This window comes from Homo sapiens, chromosome 22 (genome assembly GCF_000001405.40).
Source record: "Homo sapiens chromosome 22, GRCh38.p14 Primary Assembly".
Taxonomy (NCBI): domain Eukaryota; kingdom Metazoa; phylum Chordata; class Mammalia; order Primates; family Hominidae; genus Homo; species Homo sapiens.
This window is the reverse complement of record NC_000022.11, coordinates 31,346,486-31,365,956: the sequence shown is the minus strand read 5'-3', so window position 1 is coordinate 31,365,956 and position 19,471 is coordinate 31,346,486. Positions and strand designations below refer to the sequence as shown.

At 48.6% G+C, this 19,471-nt stretch overlaps 1 long non-coding RNA gene across 1 annotated transcript, besides 2 other annotated features; it reads right to left on the bottom strand.

The window, feature by feature from the left end:
• Positions 1–14,801: 14,801 nt before the first annotated feature.
• LINC01521 (long intergenic non-protein coding RNA 1521) lies at positions 14,802–19,198 on the bottom strand. The gene has a single exon (NR_120386.1). It is a non-coding gene; the product is annotated as a long intergenic non-protein coding RNA 1521 (long non-coding RNA).
• Positions 19,106–19,325: a silencer, noted in NCBI's record as "silent region_13630". NCBI's record gives its function as "represses an Ori minimal core promoter by ATAC-STARR-seq in GM12878 lymphoblastoid cells {active_cell/tissue: GM12878}" and the evidence as "EXISTENCE:reporter gene assay evidence [ECO:0000049][PMID:35858748]".
• Positions 19,376–19,445: a silencer, noted in NCBI's record as "silent region_13629". NCBI's record gives its function as "represses an Ori minimal core promoter by ATAC-STARR-seq in GM12878 lymphoblastoid cells {active_cell/tissue: GM12878}" and the evidence as "EXISTENCE:reporter gene assay evidence [ECO:0000049][PMID:35858748]".

The window sequence follows — 19,471 nt, the reverse complement described above, 5'->3', positions numbered from 1 at the left end:
TTTATTTATTTGTTTTATTTTTTGAGATGGAGTTTCGCTCTTGTTGCCCAGGCTGGAGTGCAACGGCACAATCTGGGCTCACCACAACCTCTGCCTCCCAGGTTCAAGCTATTCTCCTGCCTCAGCCTCCCAAGTAGCTGGGATTACAGGCATGTGCCACCACACCTGGCTAATTTTTTGTATTTTGAGTAGAATCAGGGTTTCTCCATGTTGGTCAGGCTGGTCTCAAACCCCCGACCTCAGGTGATCTGCCAGCCTTGGCCGCCCAAAGTGCTGGGATTACAGGCATGAGCCACTGCACCTAGCCTGGTAGCTCACTCTTTTAATTCAACAATTTGTGAATCTCCTTTCTTCCTTCCTTCCTTTCTCTCTCTCTCTCTCTCTCTCTCACTTTCTCTCTTCCTCCCTCCCCAGCTCCCTCCCTTCCCTCCCCTTCTCCCCCTCCCTCCCTTTCCTCCCTTTCCTCCCTCCCTGCCTCCCTTCCTTCCTTCCTTCTTTCCTTCCTTCCTCTTTCCTTTTTTTTTTTTTTTTGACAGGGTCTCACTCTCTTGCCCAGGCTGCAATGCAGTGGCATGATCCTGGGCTCAAGGGAACCTCCCAACTGAGCCTTCCAAGTAGCTGCTCCTACAGACAAGAATTAAGGGAGGATTGCTTTGAGCACAGGAGGTGGAGGCTGCAGCGAGCCATGATCGCACCACTGCACTCCAACCTGGGTGACAGAGTGAGACCCTATCACAAGAAAAAAAAGAAAAAGAATATAAATACCTCATACCGTTTGAATTTGGAATCTGTGAAGTTATTATCTAGTCAAAGGAATAGATGAATGAAAGGCTTCAGAGAGGAGCTGAAATCGGATCCACTGTTGAAAAAATAAGCAGAACTTTTTTTTTTTTTTTTTTGGTAGAGAAAAAAAAGCCTTTTTATGTTGCCCAGCCTGATCAGGAACTCCTGGCCTCAAGGGTTCCTCCCTGGTCAGCCTCCCAAAGCACTGGGATTGCAGACATGAGCCACCATACCCAGCCAAGACTTTTTTTTTTTTTTTTTTTTTTTTAAACGGAGTCTCCCTCTGTCGCCCAGGCTGGAGCGCAGCGGCGTGATCTCGGCTCACTGCAAGCTCCGCCTCGTAGGTTCACGCCATTCTCCTGCCTCAGCCTCCCGAGTAGCTGGGACTACAGGCGCCCGCCACCACGCCCGGCTAATTTTTTGTATTTTTAGTAGAGACGGGGTTTCACCGTGTTAGCCAGGATGGTCTCGATCTCCTGACCTCGTGATCCGCCCCCCTCGGCCTCCCAAAGCGCTGGGATTACAGGCGTGAGCCACCGCGCCTGGCCTTTTTTATTTTTTGGAAGAGAAATATGTAGGGAAAGGGAATTGCCCCAGGTGTAGCAGCAAGAATTACAAAATAGATTTATGTATCTTGAAAAAGGCCCAAAGTCAGGAGCTGGCAATTGACAAAGCTAGGATTTGAACCCAGGCCTGTCCAGCTCCTAGGGGCTCACAGTAACCACTGGCCCTTTTGCAGGAATCTGGGTTCTCTAGGACTTGGGGCAGGCCACTTTCTCCTCTGGGTCTATAAAATGGAGAAATTCAACTAGATGATACTTCAGCCTCTGTCCATGATTACTTGCTGTGGATCCAAGTTCTGATTCACTGCAATTTATTTGTCAGCCACCTGGGTCTGCTGGACCGGATAAGCCTGCCAAGGGTGGGGGACTCTGCTGAGGTTTCTAGGAATTGCTAAGAGAACTCAGAGTTTCTGGAGGCTATAGGCAACTTGTGCTGAGGCCCAGGCCCCATCTCAGAGCACTCCTCTCGTGGAGGTATGGCCTGCAGCCTCAAACTATTTGACCCTGCTGCCCAAGGTCATACATTACATCCCATCGGCAGAGAAGGGCCCACTTGGGAACACTGGGAGCAATTTCCAGGCACATAAAATGGCAAATGGCTAGTCAGAGGACTCCTCCAAGTACAGCCACTCCAGGGGTGATAAACTGGGGACTGGCAGCCCACTCTGGCCCACTGGCCTGCTCCACTTGACCAGCATAATGTTTATGGGAAATTTTAGACTAGTTGCCAAACATTTAAAAATGGATTTCCAGATTCTTGTGAAAAACCAGAAAACCTGATGGCACTAGGCCCTCATTCCCGTGACTGGCTTGTCAAAGGAAAATACAAATCTTCGGACCCCGAAATCACTAGGCCAAAAGGAAAGCCAAGCTGGGGCCAGGCATAGTGGCTTACGCCTGTAATCCCAGCACTTTGGGAGGCCAAGTTCAAGATCAGCCTGACCAACAGGTTTAGTAGAAACCCTGTCTCTACTAAAAATACAAAAATTAGGTGGGCATGGTGGCGGGTGCCTATAATCCCAGCTATTTGAGAGGCTGAGGCAGGAGAATCGCTTGAACCCAGGAGGTGGAGGTTGCAGTGAGCCGAGATCGCGCCACTGCACTCCAGCCTGGGGAACAAGAGCAAAACTCCATCTCAAAAAGAAAAAAAAAGAAAAGTCAAGCTGGGTACTATGTCAGGCAAACCTACTTCCAACTTTATTCCTAAATAAGATAGCTACAAAGATACAAAAAAGCTACATACCTCCCGCCGCACAATTTGCCCATAAGGAAATTTCTTGTGAGCCTCAAGATCTTTACCTCCTGACTTTGGGCCTTTTTCAAGATAAATAAATCTGTTCTGTAATTCTTGCTGCTACACCTGGGGCAATTCCCTTTCCCTACATCTTTTTTTTTTTTTTTTTTTTTTTGATATGCTGTCTTGCTCTCTCACCCAGGCTGGAGTGCAGTGGCGTGGTCTCAGCTCACTACCAGCTCCGCCTCCTGGGTTCACGCCATTCTCCTGCCTCAGCCTCCTGAGTAGCTGGGACTACAGGCGCCCGCCACCACGCCCAGCTAATTTTTTCTGTTTTTTAGTAGAGACGGGGTTTCACCGTGTTAGCCAGGATGGTCTCGGTCTCTTGACCTCGTGATCCATCCACCTCAGCCTCCCAAAGTGCTGGGATTACAGGCGTGAGCCACCCCCACCCCCCGGCCCCTTTCCCTATATCTTTAGTTCAACAGAACTAAATCAGTTCTGTTGAATTTCACCTGGCAATGTAAAGAGATAGCTTATCTTCACAGGTGCCAGACAGAAAGTCATCCCTTTGCTCACCTGAGACAAATGCATATCTGATTGCTTCCTCTGCCCTACTGTTTATGTAAAAATGCAGATTCACTGAGCCAAACTAAATTGTGGATTCAGGGAAAAGCTGATCAAGGATTCAAAATAATGCAACCCTTTGGAGCCGGGCATGGTGTCTCACACCTGTAATCCCAGCACTTTGGCAGGCCACTGCAGGCAGATCACCTGAGTCCAGGAGTTCAAAACCAGCCTGGCCAACATGGAGAAACCCCGTCTCTCTACTAAAAATGCAAATTAGCTGGGTGTGGTGGCACGCGCCTGTAGTCTCAGATACTTGGGAGGTTGAGGCAGCGGGATCACTTGAACCCAGGAGGCAGAGGTGGCAGTGAGTGGAGATCGAGCCACTGCACTCCAGCCTGGGTGACACAGTGAGACTCTCTCAAAAAAAAAAAAAAAAAAATAGAATGCAACCCTTTGTCTCTCTTATCTACCTATGACCTGGAAGCCCCTCCTTCCAGTTGTCCTGCCTTTCCAGAATGAACCAATGTACATATACACATATTGATTGATGTCTCATGTCTCCCTAAAATGCATAAAAGCAAACTGCACCCCAACCACCTTGGGCACATGTCTTCAGGACCTCCTGAGGCTGTGTCATGGGCACGTCCTTAACCTTGGCAAAATGAACTTTCTAAATTGATTGAGATCTAAATCAGATACTTCTGGGTTCACAGGCTGGACTCTGGCTGCCCCCCTTTTTTTGTAGAGACAAGGGGCTCTCTATGTTGTCCAGGCTGGTCTCCAACTCCTGGGCTCCCTCCTGGGCCTCCTACAGTGCTGGGACTACAGGCCTGAGCTGCTGTGTCCAGCCTGTTTTCCCCTTTGCTGTGGTGCCTTCTTCAGCCCTGTAGTTCCCATTTGTGCCACACATCTCACCAAGTTACCCTGGCCCTTAGAAACACCTGAGTTTGAGACTCCTAATTTAGATCAATTCCCTTGTTTTACAGATGAGGAAACTGAATCATGGAGAAAGGAGGGGACTTAACTAGGGTCACAAAGACTGGAGACTTTGCTGGGCGTGGTGGCTCACGCCTGTAATTATCGCATTTTGGGAGGCTGAGGCGGGAGGATTGTTTGAGACCAGGAGTTCAAGACCAACCTGAGCAATATGGTGAGACCCTCTCTCTACAAAATAAATAAATAAATAAAAAATATAGTCAGGCATGGTGGCTCATGCCTGTAATCCTAGCACTTTGGGAGGCTGAGGTGAGTGGATCACTGGAGACCAGGAGTTTCAGACCAACCTGGCCAACATGGCGAAACCCCGTCTCCACTAAAAATACAAAAATTAGCCAGGCATGGTGGTGTATGCCTGTAGTCCCAGCTACTTGGGAGGCTGACGCATGCGAATCACTTGAGCCCAGGAGGTTGAGGCTCCAGCAAACTGAGATTGCACCATTGCACTCCAGCCTGGGCAACAGAGCAAGACTCTGTCTCAAAAAAAAAAAAAAAAAATTCAATGGTTAAAGGGTACAAAAAAATAGGATGAATAAAATCTATTTGATAACATAATAGGGTGACTATAGTCAATAATAACTTAATTGTACTTTTAAAAATAAAGAGTGTAACTGGATTGTTTGTATCTCAAAGGATAAATGCTTGAGGGGATGAATACCCCATTCTCCATGATGTGCTTATTTCACATTGGATGCCTGTATCAAAACATCTCATGTACCTGTAAATATATATACCTACTATGTACCACAATAATTTAAAAAAAATAAATAATTATTTGAGCTGGTAAGAATGATAAGAGCATAACAAAGCAAAAACTGAAGACTCCAGCTGTGTCCCAAGTCCCAGTCCTGCAGTTTTGTTTTGTTTTCATTTTTTTTTTTTTTTTCTGAGACGGAGTCTTACTCCCAGGCTGGAGTACAGTGGCTCGATCTCACCTCACTGAAACTTCCACCTCCCAGATCCAAACAATTCTCCTGCCTCAGCCTCCTAAGTAGCTGGGATTATAGGCACATGCCACCACGCTCGGCTAATTTTTGTATTTTTAGTAGAGACGGGTTTTCACCATGTTGGCCAGGCTGGTCTCGAACTCCTGGCTTCAAGTGATCCACCCTCCTCGGCGTCCCAAAGTGCTGGGATTACACGCATGAGCCACCACGCCTGGGCAGCCCTGCATTTCTTTTAGAGCACATGCCAGGAACCAGAAAACTAGGAATCCTTGTTCCTGATATGAAGGTTGAGAGCCGTCTTATGCGAAGTGCCTCACATAGAATAATATGTACCTCATATAGCACTTCCGATTGGGCTGGTGCCTCTAGAATCTTTTGTAACCTATCACTTCCTCCCCACCCTCACCCCAAGGGATTGTAACACACACACAGGTTTGGGAATCACCTGGCATTGAATATATTACATTCTCACCTAGAAAGATCCAGCTGTCAGAAAAGAAATACCCCAGGGCCTTTCTTCTTCACCAGTCAGAATTTTATTGTGGCATCCTGTAGGAAGCCTGCCCCCATGCCCCAGGCTAGGTCCTATCATATTTAATATGACTTCTGTAATTCCTGTGCTTCTTTCATCACAGCATTTAACACTGAATTGCAAACAACAACAAATAGCTGTCACTGATTAAGCATTTACGATGTGCATAATAATATTCTCATTCATTTCTATAAGAACCCCTTAGGCACCAGGCTTGGTGGCTGGCTGACTCCTGTAATCCTAACATTTTGAGAAGCCTAGGCAGGAGGATCACTTGAGCCTAGGAATTTGAAACCAGCCTGAGCAACTTAGTGAAACTCCATCTCTACAAAAAAAAAAAAAAAAAAAAAAATTTTTTACTGGGTGTGGAGCCACATGCCTATGGTCCCAGCTACTTGGGAGGCTCAGGCAGGAGGACTGCTTGAGCTAAGGAGGATGAGGCTGCAGTGAGCTGTAATCATGACATTGCACTCCAGCCTGGGTGACAGAGTGAGACCCTCCCTCAAATAAAGAACCTCTTAGGTTCTGGGCTGTTAAGTAAATTTGCCCCAAATTACAAAGCTGGAAGTGGGTTCAGAACCAAGCTCCACCTCAGTTGATAGAATTTGATTTTCAGGCCAGACTCGGTGGCTCATGCCTGTAATTTCCCACACTTTGGGAGGCTGAGGTGTGCAGATCACTTGAGGTCAGGGGTTCAAGACCAGCCTGGACAACATGGCAAAACCATGTCTCTACTAAAAATGGAAGACTTAGCCAGGAATGGTGCTGCATGCCTGTAATCCCAGCAACTTGGGAGGCTGAGGCACAAGAATTGCTTGAACCCGGGAGGCAGAGGTTGCAGTGAGCTGAGATCACTCCACAGCACTCCAGCCTGGGTGACAGAGCGCAACTCTGTCTCAAAAAAAAAGGAAAGAAAAGAAAAGAAAAAAGAAAGAAAGAAAAAGAAAAGAAATTGATTTTCAGAGACAAGTGAGGCCCCAAACCTTGAGGATGCAGGCTGACTCTATCACCTTGACTCTCCAGGTTCTTCACATGAATCTTGCAAAGTCAGGTCTGCACAGGAGGGAGCTGGGGAGTCAACCCAGGAGGGAATCTCAAGGGGCTTGGAAGTGTTTTTGTGAATGTGGACTGTGGACTGCAACCTTCTGCTTGTATCTCCACCTACCCCTCACTCTAGCCTGGACCTGAGACAGATGACAATAAAACACTCCAAATTCCTGAGCTGGAATGGACCTGAGGCTCATTTAGCTAATAATTCTTTTTTTTTTTTCACTCTGTCACCCAGGCTGGAGTGCAGTGCAGTGGTTCAAACACAGTACACTGCAGCCTCAACCTCCTGGGCTGAAGCCATTCTCCTGGCTCAGCCTTTCGAGTAGCTGGGACCACAAGCTCATGCCTCCTTGCCTGGCTAATTAACAAAAAAATTTTTTTGTAGCCACACGGTCTTGCCATATTGCCCAGGCTGATCTTGAACTCCTGGGCTCAAGCAATCCTCTTGTCTTAGCCTCCCAAAATGCTGGGATTACAGGTGTGAGCCACCACACTCGGCTATGATTCTTCTTTTTATTTATTTATTTTTATTTTTTTGAGATGGAGTCTGTTGCCCAGACTGGAGTGCAATGGCACGATCTCGGCTCCCTGCAAGCTCCGCCTCCTGGGTTCACGCCATTCTCCTGTCTCAGCCTCCCAAGTAGCTGGGACTACAGGCGCCCGCCACCACACCCAGCTAATTTTTTGTGTTTTTAGTAGAGATGGGGTTTCACCATGTTAGCCAGGATGGTCTCGATCTCCTGACCTTGTGATCTGCCCCCCTCGGCCTCCCAAAGTGCTGGGATTACAGGGGTGAGCCACCGTGCCCGGCCCCGATTCTTCTTTTTATTTATTTATTTGAAACAGAGTCTTCGTCTGTCACCCAGGCTGGAGTGCAGTGGCGCAATCTTAGCTCACGGCAACCTCTGCCTCCTGGGTTCAAGCGATTCTCGTGCCTCAGCCTCCCGAGTAGCTGGGACTACAGGCACGCACCATCACACCCAGCTAATATATATATATATTTTTTTTTAGTAGAGGCTGGGTTTTGTCATGTTGGCCAGGCTGGTCTCGAACTCCTGGCCTTAAGTGATCTGCCCCACCCTCAGCCTCCCAAAGTGTTGGGATTACGGGCATAAACCGCCATGGCCGGCTCATAATTCTTATTTTAAATCTAAATTTTGAATTTCAGAATACTGTTGTTTTAAGCTCCTTTCCCCCACCAATCTACTTACCTCCCACCTCCAGTAGAAAACGCCTCATAAAAGCAGCACTCGTCGCCCCACAAGCTGTCTTTCTCCATTTCTAGTCCAGCATATGAAATCAGATTATCATATTAAAGCTTCTGGTATGTATGATGTGCAAAGACGTTCTTCTCAGTGCTATCTATAATAGCAAAGAAAATGAAAAAGGACACAACCTAAGTGTTCCACAGGAGAAACCGTTAGAGAATCAAGATCAAGATACAACCAATCATCCAGTCGGGAAGCTTTGCAGCCCGTGAAAATAAGATTTCTTTAATATTTACTTATTTTATTTTTAATTTTTATGTAATGACTTGAAAGGTACTCATGATATTATGGGTTCTCTATGGCTTTTCTTTTCTTTTTTTTTTGAGGCAGAGTCTTGCTCTGTTGCCCAGGCTAGAGTGCAGTGGTGCGATCTCGGCTCACTGCAACCTCCGCCACTGGATTCAAGCGATTCTCTTTTCCTCAGCCTTCTGAGTAGCCGGTATTACAGGTGTGCGTCACCACACCTGGCTAATTTTTGTATTTTTAGTAGAGACGGGGTTTCATCATGTTGGTCAAGCTGGTCTTGAACTCCTGAACTCATGATCCACTCGCCTCAGCCTCCCAAAGTGCTGGGATCATAGGTGTGAGCCACCACGCCTGGCCTCTCTATTGCTTTTCAAATGACAAAAGTAACTAGTTGCGTTGTAAAAATAAAACACTATATAAGTGTTTTTGTTTTTGTTTTTGAGACAGAGATTCACTCTTGTTGCCCAGGCTGGAGTGCAATGGCACGATCTCGGCTCACTGCAATCTCTGCCTCTCAGGTTCAAGCGATTCTCTTGCCTCAGCCTCCCAGGTAGCTGGGTTTACAGGCATGTACCACCATGCCTGGCTGATTTTTGTATTTTTAGTAGAGACAGGGTTTCACTATGTTGGTCAGGCTTGTCTCGAGCTCCTGACCTCAGGTGGTCCACCCACCTTGGCCTCCAGAAGTGCTGGGATTACAGGTGTGAGCCATCGTGCCTGGCGCCTCTATTGCTTTTCAAATGACAAAAGTAACCATTTGCGTTGTAAAAATAAAATAAAACACTATGAAAGTGTTTAAGATAAAAAGTGAAAGTGGCCCCAAAACACACTTACCTACAGTCCCAGTGTTAATCTGCAACATATTCATAATATACTGCTTCATTTAAGAAGCAGGAGAGGGCAGGTGTGGTGGTGGGTGCCTGTAATCCCAGCTACTCACTTGGCTGAGGTAGGAGAATTGTTCAAGCCCACAAGTTCAGGTTGCAATGAGTTATGAACTCATCACTGCACTCTACCCTGGGCGATAAAGTGAGACACTCATTTCTTAATGTAAAAAAAAAAGCATATATTCATTAGTAGTATTTTTAACAACAGTGCATTGAAACTGAAAAAAAAAAGTCAAGATGAAAATATACCAACATTTGGCCAGGCACAGTGGCTCACGCCTGTAATCCCAGCACTTTGGGAAGCTGAGGCAGGTGGATCACCTGAGGTCAAGGAGTTCAAGACCAGCCTGACCAACATGGTGAAACCTCATCTCTACTAAAAATACAAAACTTAGCTGGGCATGGTGGCAGGCGGGAGGGTGAGGCAGGAGAATCACTTGGACCTGGGAGGTGGAGTTTGCAGTGAGCTGAGATGGCGCCGTTGCACTCACTCCAGCCTGGGCGACAAGAGCAAAACTCCATGAAAAGAAAAAAACAGAGAGAGAGAGAAAAAGGAGGAGGAGGAAAAAGAAGAAGAGGAAGAGGAAGAAGAAGGAGGAGGAGGAGAAGGAAGAAAGAGAGAAAGAAAGAAAGAAAGAAAGAAAAAAAGAAAGAAAAAGAAAGAAAGAAAGAAAGAAAGAAAGAAAAAGAAAGAAAGAAAGAATATACCAACATTTTAGTACTTCTATTTAAGTGGTGAGACACTATGGATAATTTATTATCGTTTCCTCTGCTTTGCCTCATTTTCCAAATTATATTTGATGGAGAAAATAAACATTAAAAAGAAAAATAAGGCTGGGCACAGTGGCTCACGCCTGTAATCCCAGCACATTGGGAGGCCAAGGCGGGCAGATGGCTTGAGCCCAGGAGTTTGAGACCAGCCTGAGCAACGTAATGAAATCTTTGTCTCTACAAAAAATACACAAATTAGCCGGGCGCAGTGGCACACGCCTGTAATCCCAGCACTTTGGGAAGCCGAGGCGGGCAGATCGCTTCAGCCTAGGAGTTTGAGACCAGCCTGGACAACATGGTAAAACCCCTCTACAAAAAGTATAAAAGTTAGCCAGGTGTGGTGGCTGACACCTGTGGTCCCAGTCACTCTGGAGGCTGAGGAGGGAGGATTGCTTGAGCCAAGGAGGTGGTAGAAGCTGCGGTGAACCGTGATGGCACCACCACACTCCAGCCTGGGTGACAGAGCAAGACCCTGTCTTTAACAAAAAATAAAAATAGGCTGGGCTTGTGCTCACGCTCACGCCTGTAATCCCAGCACTTTGGGAGGCAGAGGTGGGCAGATCACCTGAGCTTAGGAGTTGGAGACCAGCCTGGCCAACATGGTGAAACCCTGTCTCTATCAAAAATACGAAAATTAACCAGGCATGGTAGTGCACACCTGTAGTCTCAGCTACTCGGGAGGCTGAGGTGGGAGGATCGCTTGAGCCCCAGAGGCAGAGAATGCAGTGAGCTGAGATTGTGCCACTGCACTCCAGCCTGGTTGGCACAGCAAGACCCTGTCTCAAAAAATAATAAAAATAAAAACAGCTGGGTGCAGTGGCTCACGCCTGTAATCCCAGCACTTTGAGAGGCTGAGGTGGGTGGATCACCTGAGGTCAGGAGTTCGAGACCAGCCTGTCCAACCAGTGAAATCCCATCTCTACTAAAAATACAAAAATTAGCTGGGGGTGGTGATGGGTGCCTGTAATCTCAGCTACTTGGGAGGCTAAGACAGGAGAATCACTTGAACCTGGGAGGTGGAGGTTGAAGTGAGCCGAGATAGCATTACTGCACTCCAGCCTGGGCAACAGAGTGAGACTCCGTCTAAAAAAAAAAAAAAAGAAAGAAAGAAAAAAAATTATCTGGACATGGTGGCATGTGCCTGTAGTCCCAGCTACTCAGGAGGCTGAGGCAGGAGAATTGCTTGAACCTGGGAAGCGGAGGTTGCAGGGAGCTGAGATCATGCCACTGCACTCCAGCCTGGGTGAAAGAGCGAGACTCTGTCTCAAAATATAAAAAATACAAAAATTTTTAAAAATAAAATTAAAAAATAAAAGTGTGTGGCACCTACTCTCACTTGCTCCTGTTTTCACCATGTGACTTGCCTGATCCCCCTTTGCCTTCTGCCATGATTGAAAGCTCCCTTAGTCTTCACCAGAAACTGGGCAGATGCCAGCACCATGCTTCTATAGAGCCTGCATAACCATGAGTCAATTAAACGTCTTTTCTTTTCTTTTTTTTTTTTTTTGAGATGGAGTCTCAGTCTGTCACCCAGCCTGGAGTGCAGCGATGCGATCTTGGCTCACTGCAACCTCCACCTCCCAGGTTCAAGTGATTCTCCTGCCTCAGTCTCCCGAGTAGCTAGGACTACAGGTGCCCGCCACCACGCCCAGTTAATTTTTTATATTTTTAGTAGAAACGGGATTTCACCATGTTGGTCAGGCAGGTCTTGAACTCCTGACCTCAGGTGATCCACCCACTTCGGCCTCCCAAAGTGCTGGGATTACAGGCTTAAGCCCCCGTGCCTGGCCTCTTTTTTTCTTTTTTTGAGACAGAGTTTCGCTGTTGTCACCCAGGCTGGAGTACAATGGTGTGATTTTGGCTCACTGCAACCTCCGACTCCTGGGTTCAAGCGATTTTCCTGCCTCAGCCTCCCGAGTAGCTGGTATTCCAGGCACACACCACCTTACCTGGCTAATTTTTGTAATTTTAGTAGAGACGGGGTTTCACCATGTTGGCCAGGCTGGTCTTGAACTCCTGACCTCAGGTGATCTGCCGGCCTCAGCCTCCCAAAGTGCTGGGATTACAGACGTGACCCCAAATATCTTGTCCCCACAGCATCTCCATTGCCCAGCACGGTGCGTGGCACAAATAAGACACCCATAAATACTTCTTGAATGAATAAATGAAAAAATCATTTTGGCTCTCAAATTGTCAGACATTTCACTAACCACCATTACAGCTAACCCAACATGGGAAGGACCTAGTGTTTTTATACACTGCTGTTGAATCAAATGTCACTCAGGAATCTCACCTAAAAGCTTAACTCATGCGAGCACTATGACTTTTTTTTTTTTTTTTTTTTTGAGACTGAGTCTCACTCTGTCACCCAGGCTGGACTGCAGTGGTGTGATCTTGGCTCACGGGCAACCTCCAGGAAGACCTTCAGGCACTTCTGGACATTAACTCTTTCTCTGTAATGTGCAGCTGATTTTCTTCAGTTAGACAGTTGCCTTTCACGTGTATGTATGTGTGTGGCCATGTTTCCTGCCCCCGTGTCACCAGCGATACCTTGACTCTCTCTCCTTCAGGTAATCAGGCACAAAAAAGAAAATCCTGGGGTGGGCACGGTGGTTCACGCCTGTAATCCTAGCACTTTGGGAGGCCGAGGCGGGCGGATCACTTGAGGTCAGGAGTTAGAGACCAGCCTGGCCAAAATGGTGAAACCCCATCTCTACTAAAAATACAAAAATTAGCCGGGCATGGTGGCGGGCGCCTGTAATCCCAGCTACTCTGGAGGCTGAGGTAGGAGAATTGCTTGAACATGGGAGGCAGAGGTTGCAGTGAGCTGAGATCATGCCACTGCACTGCAGCCTGGGCAACAAGAGCGAAATTCCATCTCAAAAAAACAAAAAAACAAAAAAATCCTCCCAGGTTAAAGTATAGAAATACAAACAATTACACATGAGGACTTTTTTTTTCCTTTTTGTGCCTGATTAATGAAAAGAAAGAGTGTTAAAGTCTCTGCTAGTGATGCAGAGGCAGGAAACATGGCCAATGATAAACCGTGGCCTACTGGGTCCCAGTCGGGCCTTGAAGACCACAGCACAGAGGGGCTGAGATAACTTGGACGGAGCAGGGAAGCAGGAACTGCTGAGCCTCTCCCTCCTGCAAGATCCTTGTGTAGCTGAAGGAGCTAGGCCTCCGTGTGAGGTGGAAGATTTGCCCACTCCTCCCAGTCATGAAGGAAACCCAACTGTCGAGAAAGAAAAGGGGTCCAAGGTGCTGGAGAAAGAACCTGGCTGTTGGAATCAGGGAGACCTGCGCTCAGTTTGGACCGCACAACCTTCACGAGGGCAGGCGTGGATGAACCAACTAACTTTCCAGTTGGCTCACCTATAAACAGGGGGCAATGGCTGGGTGTAGTGGCTCACATCTGTAATTCCAGCCCTATGGGAGGGTGAGGCATGAGGACTGCTTGAGGCCAGGAGTTTGAAACCAGCCTGGGCAACATAGTGAGACTCCATCTCTACAAACATTTGTAAAAATGATCTGGGCGTGGTGGCATAACCCAGAGTCCCAGCTATTCTGGAGGTGGAGGCGGGAGGATCACTTGAGTCCAAAGCATTCCAGACTGCAGTGAGCTATGATGGTGACAGTACATGCCAACCTGGGTGACAGAGACCCTGTCTCTGAAAAAACAAAAGGCAGGGACAATGATCCTACCCTCAGAGAGAGGCTATGGGGGTTAAATGAACCTCTGGCACTGTTCACCCAAAGCCAAACTATCAGCAAGGGCAGACCTTGAACTTGAACTTGTGTCTGTCTGGCTCCAAAACAACTCCATTCATGCTTGAAGTGCCATGATTGTTCAAGGAATGGTCTTGTTGCTATTGTTATTAAGAAGTTGAACAGCCCAGCATTGAAGTGAGCAAAGAAAGTCGGTTGGCTTCACATGCCTTCTAAGAAAGACTGATAAAGGCTAAAGGCGAGTGGGGCAGAAACTAGGGTGCCTCATTCCTGTGTTTCCCTCCATCTCCTCCTCCCATCAGGTCCTCAATAAAGCCTGGCAGCCTGGATTTGTGCTGAAAGCCCCTGGAGCAGGCAGAGGTACCTGCTATTCAGCATGCTTTGGGCCTTCCTCTCCCTTCCCTATCTGCTCATTCCTCAGTTTCCACACCAGTAAAATGGGAATCATCAGAGTAAGTGCCTCATAGGGTTGTTGTGAGGATTCCAGAGGGTAAACCAAGGAGTGCTCTCAGCACTATGGCTGGCACAGATAGTGCTTAACAAAGTTGTTATTATTATTATTATTTTGAGACGGTGTCTCGCTCTGTTGCCCAGGCTGGAGTGCAGTGGCACAATCTCCTCTCACTGCAACCTCCACCTCCCAGGTTCAAGTGATTCTCTTGCCTCAGCCTCCCGAGTAGCTGGGATTACAGGTGCATGCCACCACGCCTGGCTAATTTTTGTATATTTAGTAGAGACAGGGTTTCACCATGTTGGTCAGGCTGGTCTCCAACTCCTGACCTTGGGATCCACCCACCTCAGCCTCCCAAAGTGCTGGGATTACAGGCATAAGCCACTGTGCCCTGTCATTATTATTATTTTTGTTGTTGTTGTTGTTTTTGAGATGGAGTCTCGCTCTTGTTGCCTAGGCTGGAGTGCAGTAGCATGATCTCAGGTCACTACAATGTCTGCCTCCAGGGTTCAAGCCATTCTCCTGCCTCAGCCTCCTGAGTAGCTGGGACTACAGATGCCCGCAACCATGCCCCGCTAATTTTTTTTTTAGTAGAGACAGGGTTTCACTGTGTTAGGATGGTCTCGATCTCCTGACCTCGTGATCTGCCCGCCTCAGCCTCCCAAAGTGCTGGGATTACAGGCATGAGCCACTGCGCCCGGCCAATAATTTTTTTTTTTTTTAAAGAGAAATACACATATGTAGAAAAAGACCAGAAGGAAATGTTGGCAGCGCTCGACTCTTGGTGGTGAAATTACAGATCTTTATTTAATTTTTCTTCTTTGTGCTTTTGTGTATCTCCTACATTTTCCACAATGCACATAGCACTTTTACAATCAGGGAGTAACAACAAAAAATGCAATGTAAATCCTGAGAGGAGCTATCACCTGCATTTGGGCTCTTCCGGGGATGGTCCAGGGGAAGTGGATTTTAGCACAGCCTGGAAGGTTGGGAGAATGTGAACTAGGGAGAGGAGCCAGGTAAAGCCTTTTTTGTTCCTTGGTTTTTGTCTGTCTCCTCTAGACTACGGGTTCCTTGAGGGCAGGATCTGTGGTCTGGCTTGTTCACTGCTGTATCCCTAGCATCTTACAAAACAAAAGCCTGGTGCTTAGTAGGTGATCAATAAATACAAATCTAGTTAATGAATACATGACCTTGACAGCTCTGCTTAGCCTAGGAGACAAGGATATTCTCAGTTCGCTGTCCAGCTGGTCTGCTGCCAAAACTGAGGTGCATGGTTTCCATGGCAACAGAAGAGGGCCCGACAGGCCAGCAGCAGGAGGCAGATGCAGGGATTGTGAGCTCTGCATGTTTTCAAGGTGTGGCCTAGAAATCCGGAACATGGCGGTGGGTTCTTTCAATAGATGTTGAGAGAAAAAAAGCTTCATAAATACGGCTAACTCAGTTGTTCACCAGGCAGGTTTCTAAGTCAATTAATGAAAACTCGGGCAAGTAGTCGAGGTCTTTAAAGGTGACATGGGAGGCTCTTAGTGTTTGAAAGTCTAGGAACTCAGGAAAGTTTGGTTTTAGTCTGGATCCTGACTAAGGGTGTGACCCTGGGCAAGTTACTTAACCTCTCTGGGCCTCAGCATGCTCATTCATAAAATGAGAGGTTTGACCAGCACTAAAATTATTTATAAAAACATGTGTGGTAGGAATGCAAAATGGTACAGTCACTGTGGAAGAGTTTGGTGGTTCCTCAGTAAGTTATACATAGAACCATCATATGACCCAGCAATTCCACTCCTAGGTATACACCCAAGAGAACTGAAGATAGGCACTCAAATACATACTTGTGCACAAATGTTCATAGTTGCACTATCCATAATAACCAAAAGGCCACCAATGGATGAATGGATAAAGGTAGTATATCCATACAATGGTGTATCATTCAGCCAGTCATAAAAAGGAACAAAGTATTTATACATGCTACAACATGAATGAACCTTGAAAACATTACGTTAAGTGAAACAAGCCAGACTCAAAAGGTCACATACAGTATTGTATAATTCCAACTAAATAAAATATCCAGGCTGGGCATGGTGGCTTACGTCTGTAATCCCAGCACCTTGGGAGGCTGAGGTGGACAAATCACCTGAGGTCAGGAGTTCGAGACCAGTCTGGCCAACATGGCGAAACCCCATCTCTACTAAAAATACAACAATTAGCCGGGCACGGTGGCATGCGCCTGTAATCCCAGCTACTTGGAAGACTGAGGCAAGAGAACCGCTTGAACCCAGGAGGTAGAGATTGCAGTGAGCCAAGATCGCGCCACTGCACTCCAGCCTGGGTGACAGAGACTTCGTCTCAAAAAATAAATAAATAAAAAAAATATCCAGAATAGGTAAATCCATAGAGACAGAATGCAGATTGGTGGTTGCCAGGGGATGAAGGGAGAAGGGAATGGAAAGTGACTTCTTAACGTGTACGGAGTTTTCTTTTGGGGTGATAAAAATGTTTTGCAACTGGACAGACGTGCTGGTTGCACAACATTGTGAATGTACTAGGTGCTAGTGAATGATACATTTTAAAATTGTTAATTTTATGTCAGTTGAATGTTACCTAAAAAAAAAAAAAAAAGACATGTTCTGCAAGCATGCCTTAAGTTACATAATGGATTCCTAGGAGCCTGAGAGATGGGCAAGACTGAGAGTAATGGATGAAGTAGAGAGGTTACTCCCACCCCCACAATCACACTGCCAAGGCGACATTTGGAAAAAAGCTCCCAGGTGGGATCAGAACGGCGTCTGGACTGTCTCTGGCCACTTCCCCAAGGTGGGATCCTGGACCACTCTGGCTCCTTGAACCTCAGGCTTCCTATCTGCAAAACAGGGCTGATGCACGTTCCCTGTTTTCCTCAGAGCACCACCTTCTGAACCCACCTTCACCGGGTGAATCCGCTGGAATGGGGCCAGTCATGGCACCTTGTTTTCTAAGCATAGCAGACAGAGAGTCAGTTCCTGGTTCAAGTGGAGCCATGGACGGGTGACAGGTTTCAGAAGCCACTGGTGAGAAAGGGGCAGTTAACCAGTTTGAATCCTGGCTCCATCACTATCTGTGTGGCCTTGGGCAGGTCACTCACCTTCCCCAGTTCCAATGGTTGAATAGGAATATCTGTACCTACTATGGAGAAACGATGTGTGTATACACTGGACACTCAGAGCAAACCTCTTTTTCTTTTCTTTCTTCTTCTTTTTTTTTTTTTTGAAACAGTTTTGCTCTTGTTGCCCAGGCTAGAGTGCAATGGCGCGATCTCGGCTCACCGCAACTCCGCCTCCCGGGTTCAAGTGATTCTCCTGCCTCAGCCTCCCCAGTAGCTCGGATTATAGGCATGTGCCACCACGCCCGGCTAATTTTGTATTTTTTTTTTTTTTGAGACGGAGTTTCGCTCTTGTTGCCCAGGCTGTAGTGCAATGGCACGATCTCGGCTCACGGCAACCTCCGCCTCCCAGGTTCAAGCGATTCTCCTGCCTCAGCCTCTCTAGTAGCTGAGATTACAGGCATGTGCCACCACGCCCGGCTAATTTTGTATTTTTAGTAGAGACGGGGTTTCTCCATGTTGGTCAGGCTGGTCTAGAACTCCCGACCTCAGGTGATCCGCCTGCCTCGACCTCCCAAAGTGCTGGGATTACAGGCATGAGCCACTGCGCCCGGCCTAGTTTTGTATTTTTAGTAGAGATGGGGTTTCTCCGTGTTGGTCAGACTGGTCTCGAACTCCCGACCTCAGGTGATCCGCCCGCCTCAGCCTCCCAAAGTGCTGGGATAACAGGCGTGAGCCACCGCGCCCGGCCCCTTTCTCTTTCTCTGTGGATGTTCCCAGCAGCTCTCTCAAAAATAAAACGTGCCAGTTCCCAAAATCCGCCCAAGAAAGCTGTGGCTCAGAGAGGGAGGCACTAGCCTAAGGTGACAGTGAGTCTGGGCTTAGAACACAGATCTCCTGGCTTCGTGTCCAGGGAACTTTCTTCATGCCTCTAATTCATTCTCTCCAACAGGAGTTTGGCATGTACTATGCCCTAGAGCGGAGGTGTGCAGGACAGGTGCTGCTGTCCCTGTGCACAGGTTAAGAAACAGTTTAACTGAATCTCAGGGAGGCCAAGTGACTAAGCACCAGGACACGAAACCAGAAGGCAGAGGTCTCGATTTTGAACTCGGATCATCCGCCAGGGCAACGCCCGGAAGCCTCAGGGCGCGCGTGGCTGGGCGCGAGCTCGGCGCGCAGCGGTGGGAATCCCGAGCGGAGTTGGAAGCCGGGCCCGTTCATTTGCATGCTAATACCCAGAATGCTTTTCCCCCGCACACCGCTTCTCTTAATGGAAGCGCTCAGTTTGGAACCGTGGAAAGTTTGGAACACATACTTCGCTGCCTCTTTGCAACTGTGGGAACTTCCCGCCCGCACACGCGGCGCCTGCAGCCTGGGGCTCCGCGCCAGGCGGCCCAAAGGCAGCCGCCAGCGCTTCCTGGGAAGACAAACCTTGGTGTACAACTCTAGCGTGGTAGCATCCCCGGGCGGGCCGGGGACAAAGCGCCGAGGCCTGGCGGCAGGGCCCATTACCAGAGCACCCGGCGTCTCACAGGGCTGCGGGCGCTGGGGATGCTCCGGGCTTGGAGAGGCCTGAGGGTGTCCCCGACTCCTCCGGCACCCCCACTTCCCTGAGGATTGCTGGGGCTTCCGGGGGTCCCTGCCCCGTCCATCGCCCTCATATTGTCGCCTCCCGGAGCTGGTGACTTCACGCTCCCCGGGGACAAAGCTCGGCGTGCTGTGGTTTGGGGGAGAAGCTGGACGCTGGCTTCATCTCTCCAGCTCTTCCGGGCGCGCAGCCCATCAGATCGATCAATGTACCGGGTGCAGAAGCAGCTCCGGAGGTTCGGCCTGTCTCCGGCCAGGACCCCGGGCCCTCTCTGGTGTTTGAAGCAGGGAGGCGGTCGCAGGCGACTTCTGGGAATTTCACGCATGAAAGCGGGGCTCCGAAGGGTGGACGACGCCCGCTCGACCTGCGAGTGCGCTTCGCAGGCTGGGGGGCCCGGATCCGCACCCCTCAGTTCCTGCCCCCCCACCCTGCTAGCCGCCACTCTCAGCGGGCAGGGGAGGGGCAGTGGGAGCTGGTTTGCTGGCTCGGCGCTTCGTTTGCATTGGTCCGGGGGGGCTGAGACTGCAGCCCCCGGCCCCGCGGGCGGGGTGGGGAGGCGGGGGCCGGACGGGGGCTCAGGCTGCTCTAGCATTGGCGGATCTGGGGAATGGGGAGGGGGGGCAGGAAGCGGGGGGAGCGGACTGCGGGGGGGGGGTGTATAAATAGGGAAGGGGGGACGTGCATCCTCGTCTTGGTGAGGGGGGGGCGCTCGGCACAAAGAAAGTGTAAAGTTTGCAGCGCCAGGCGGCCCGGGCTAGGCATCCGGGCGCGCACGTG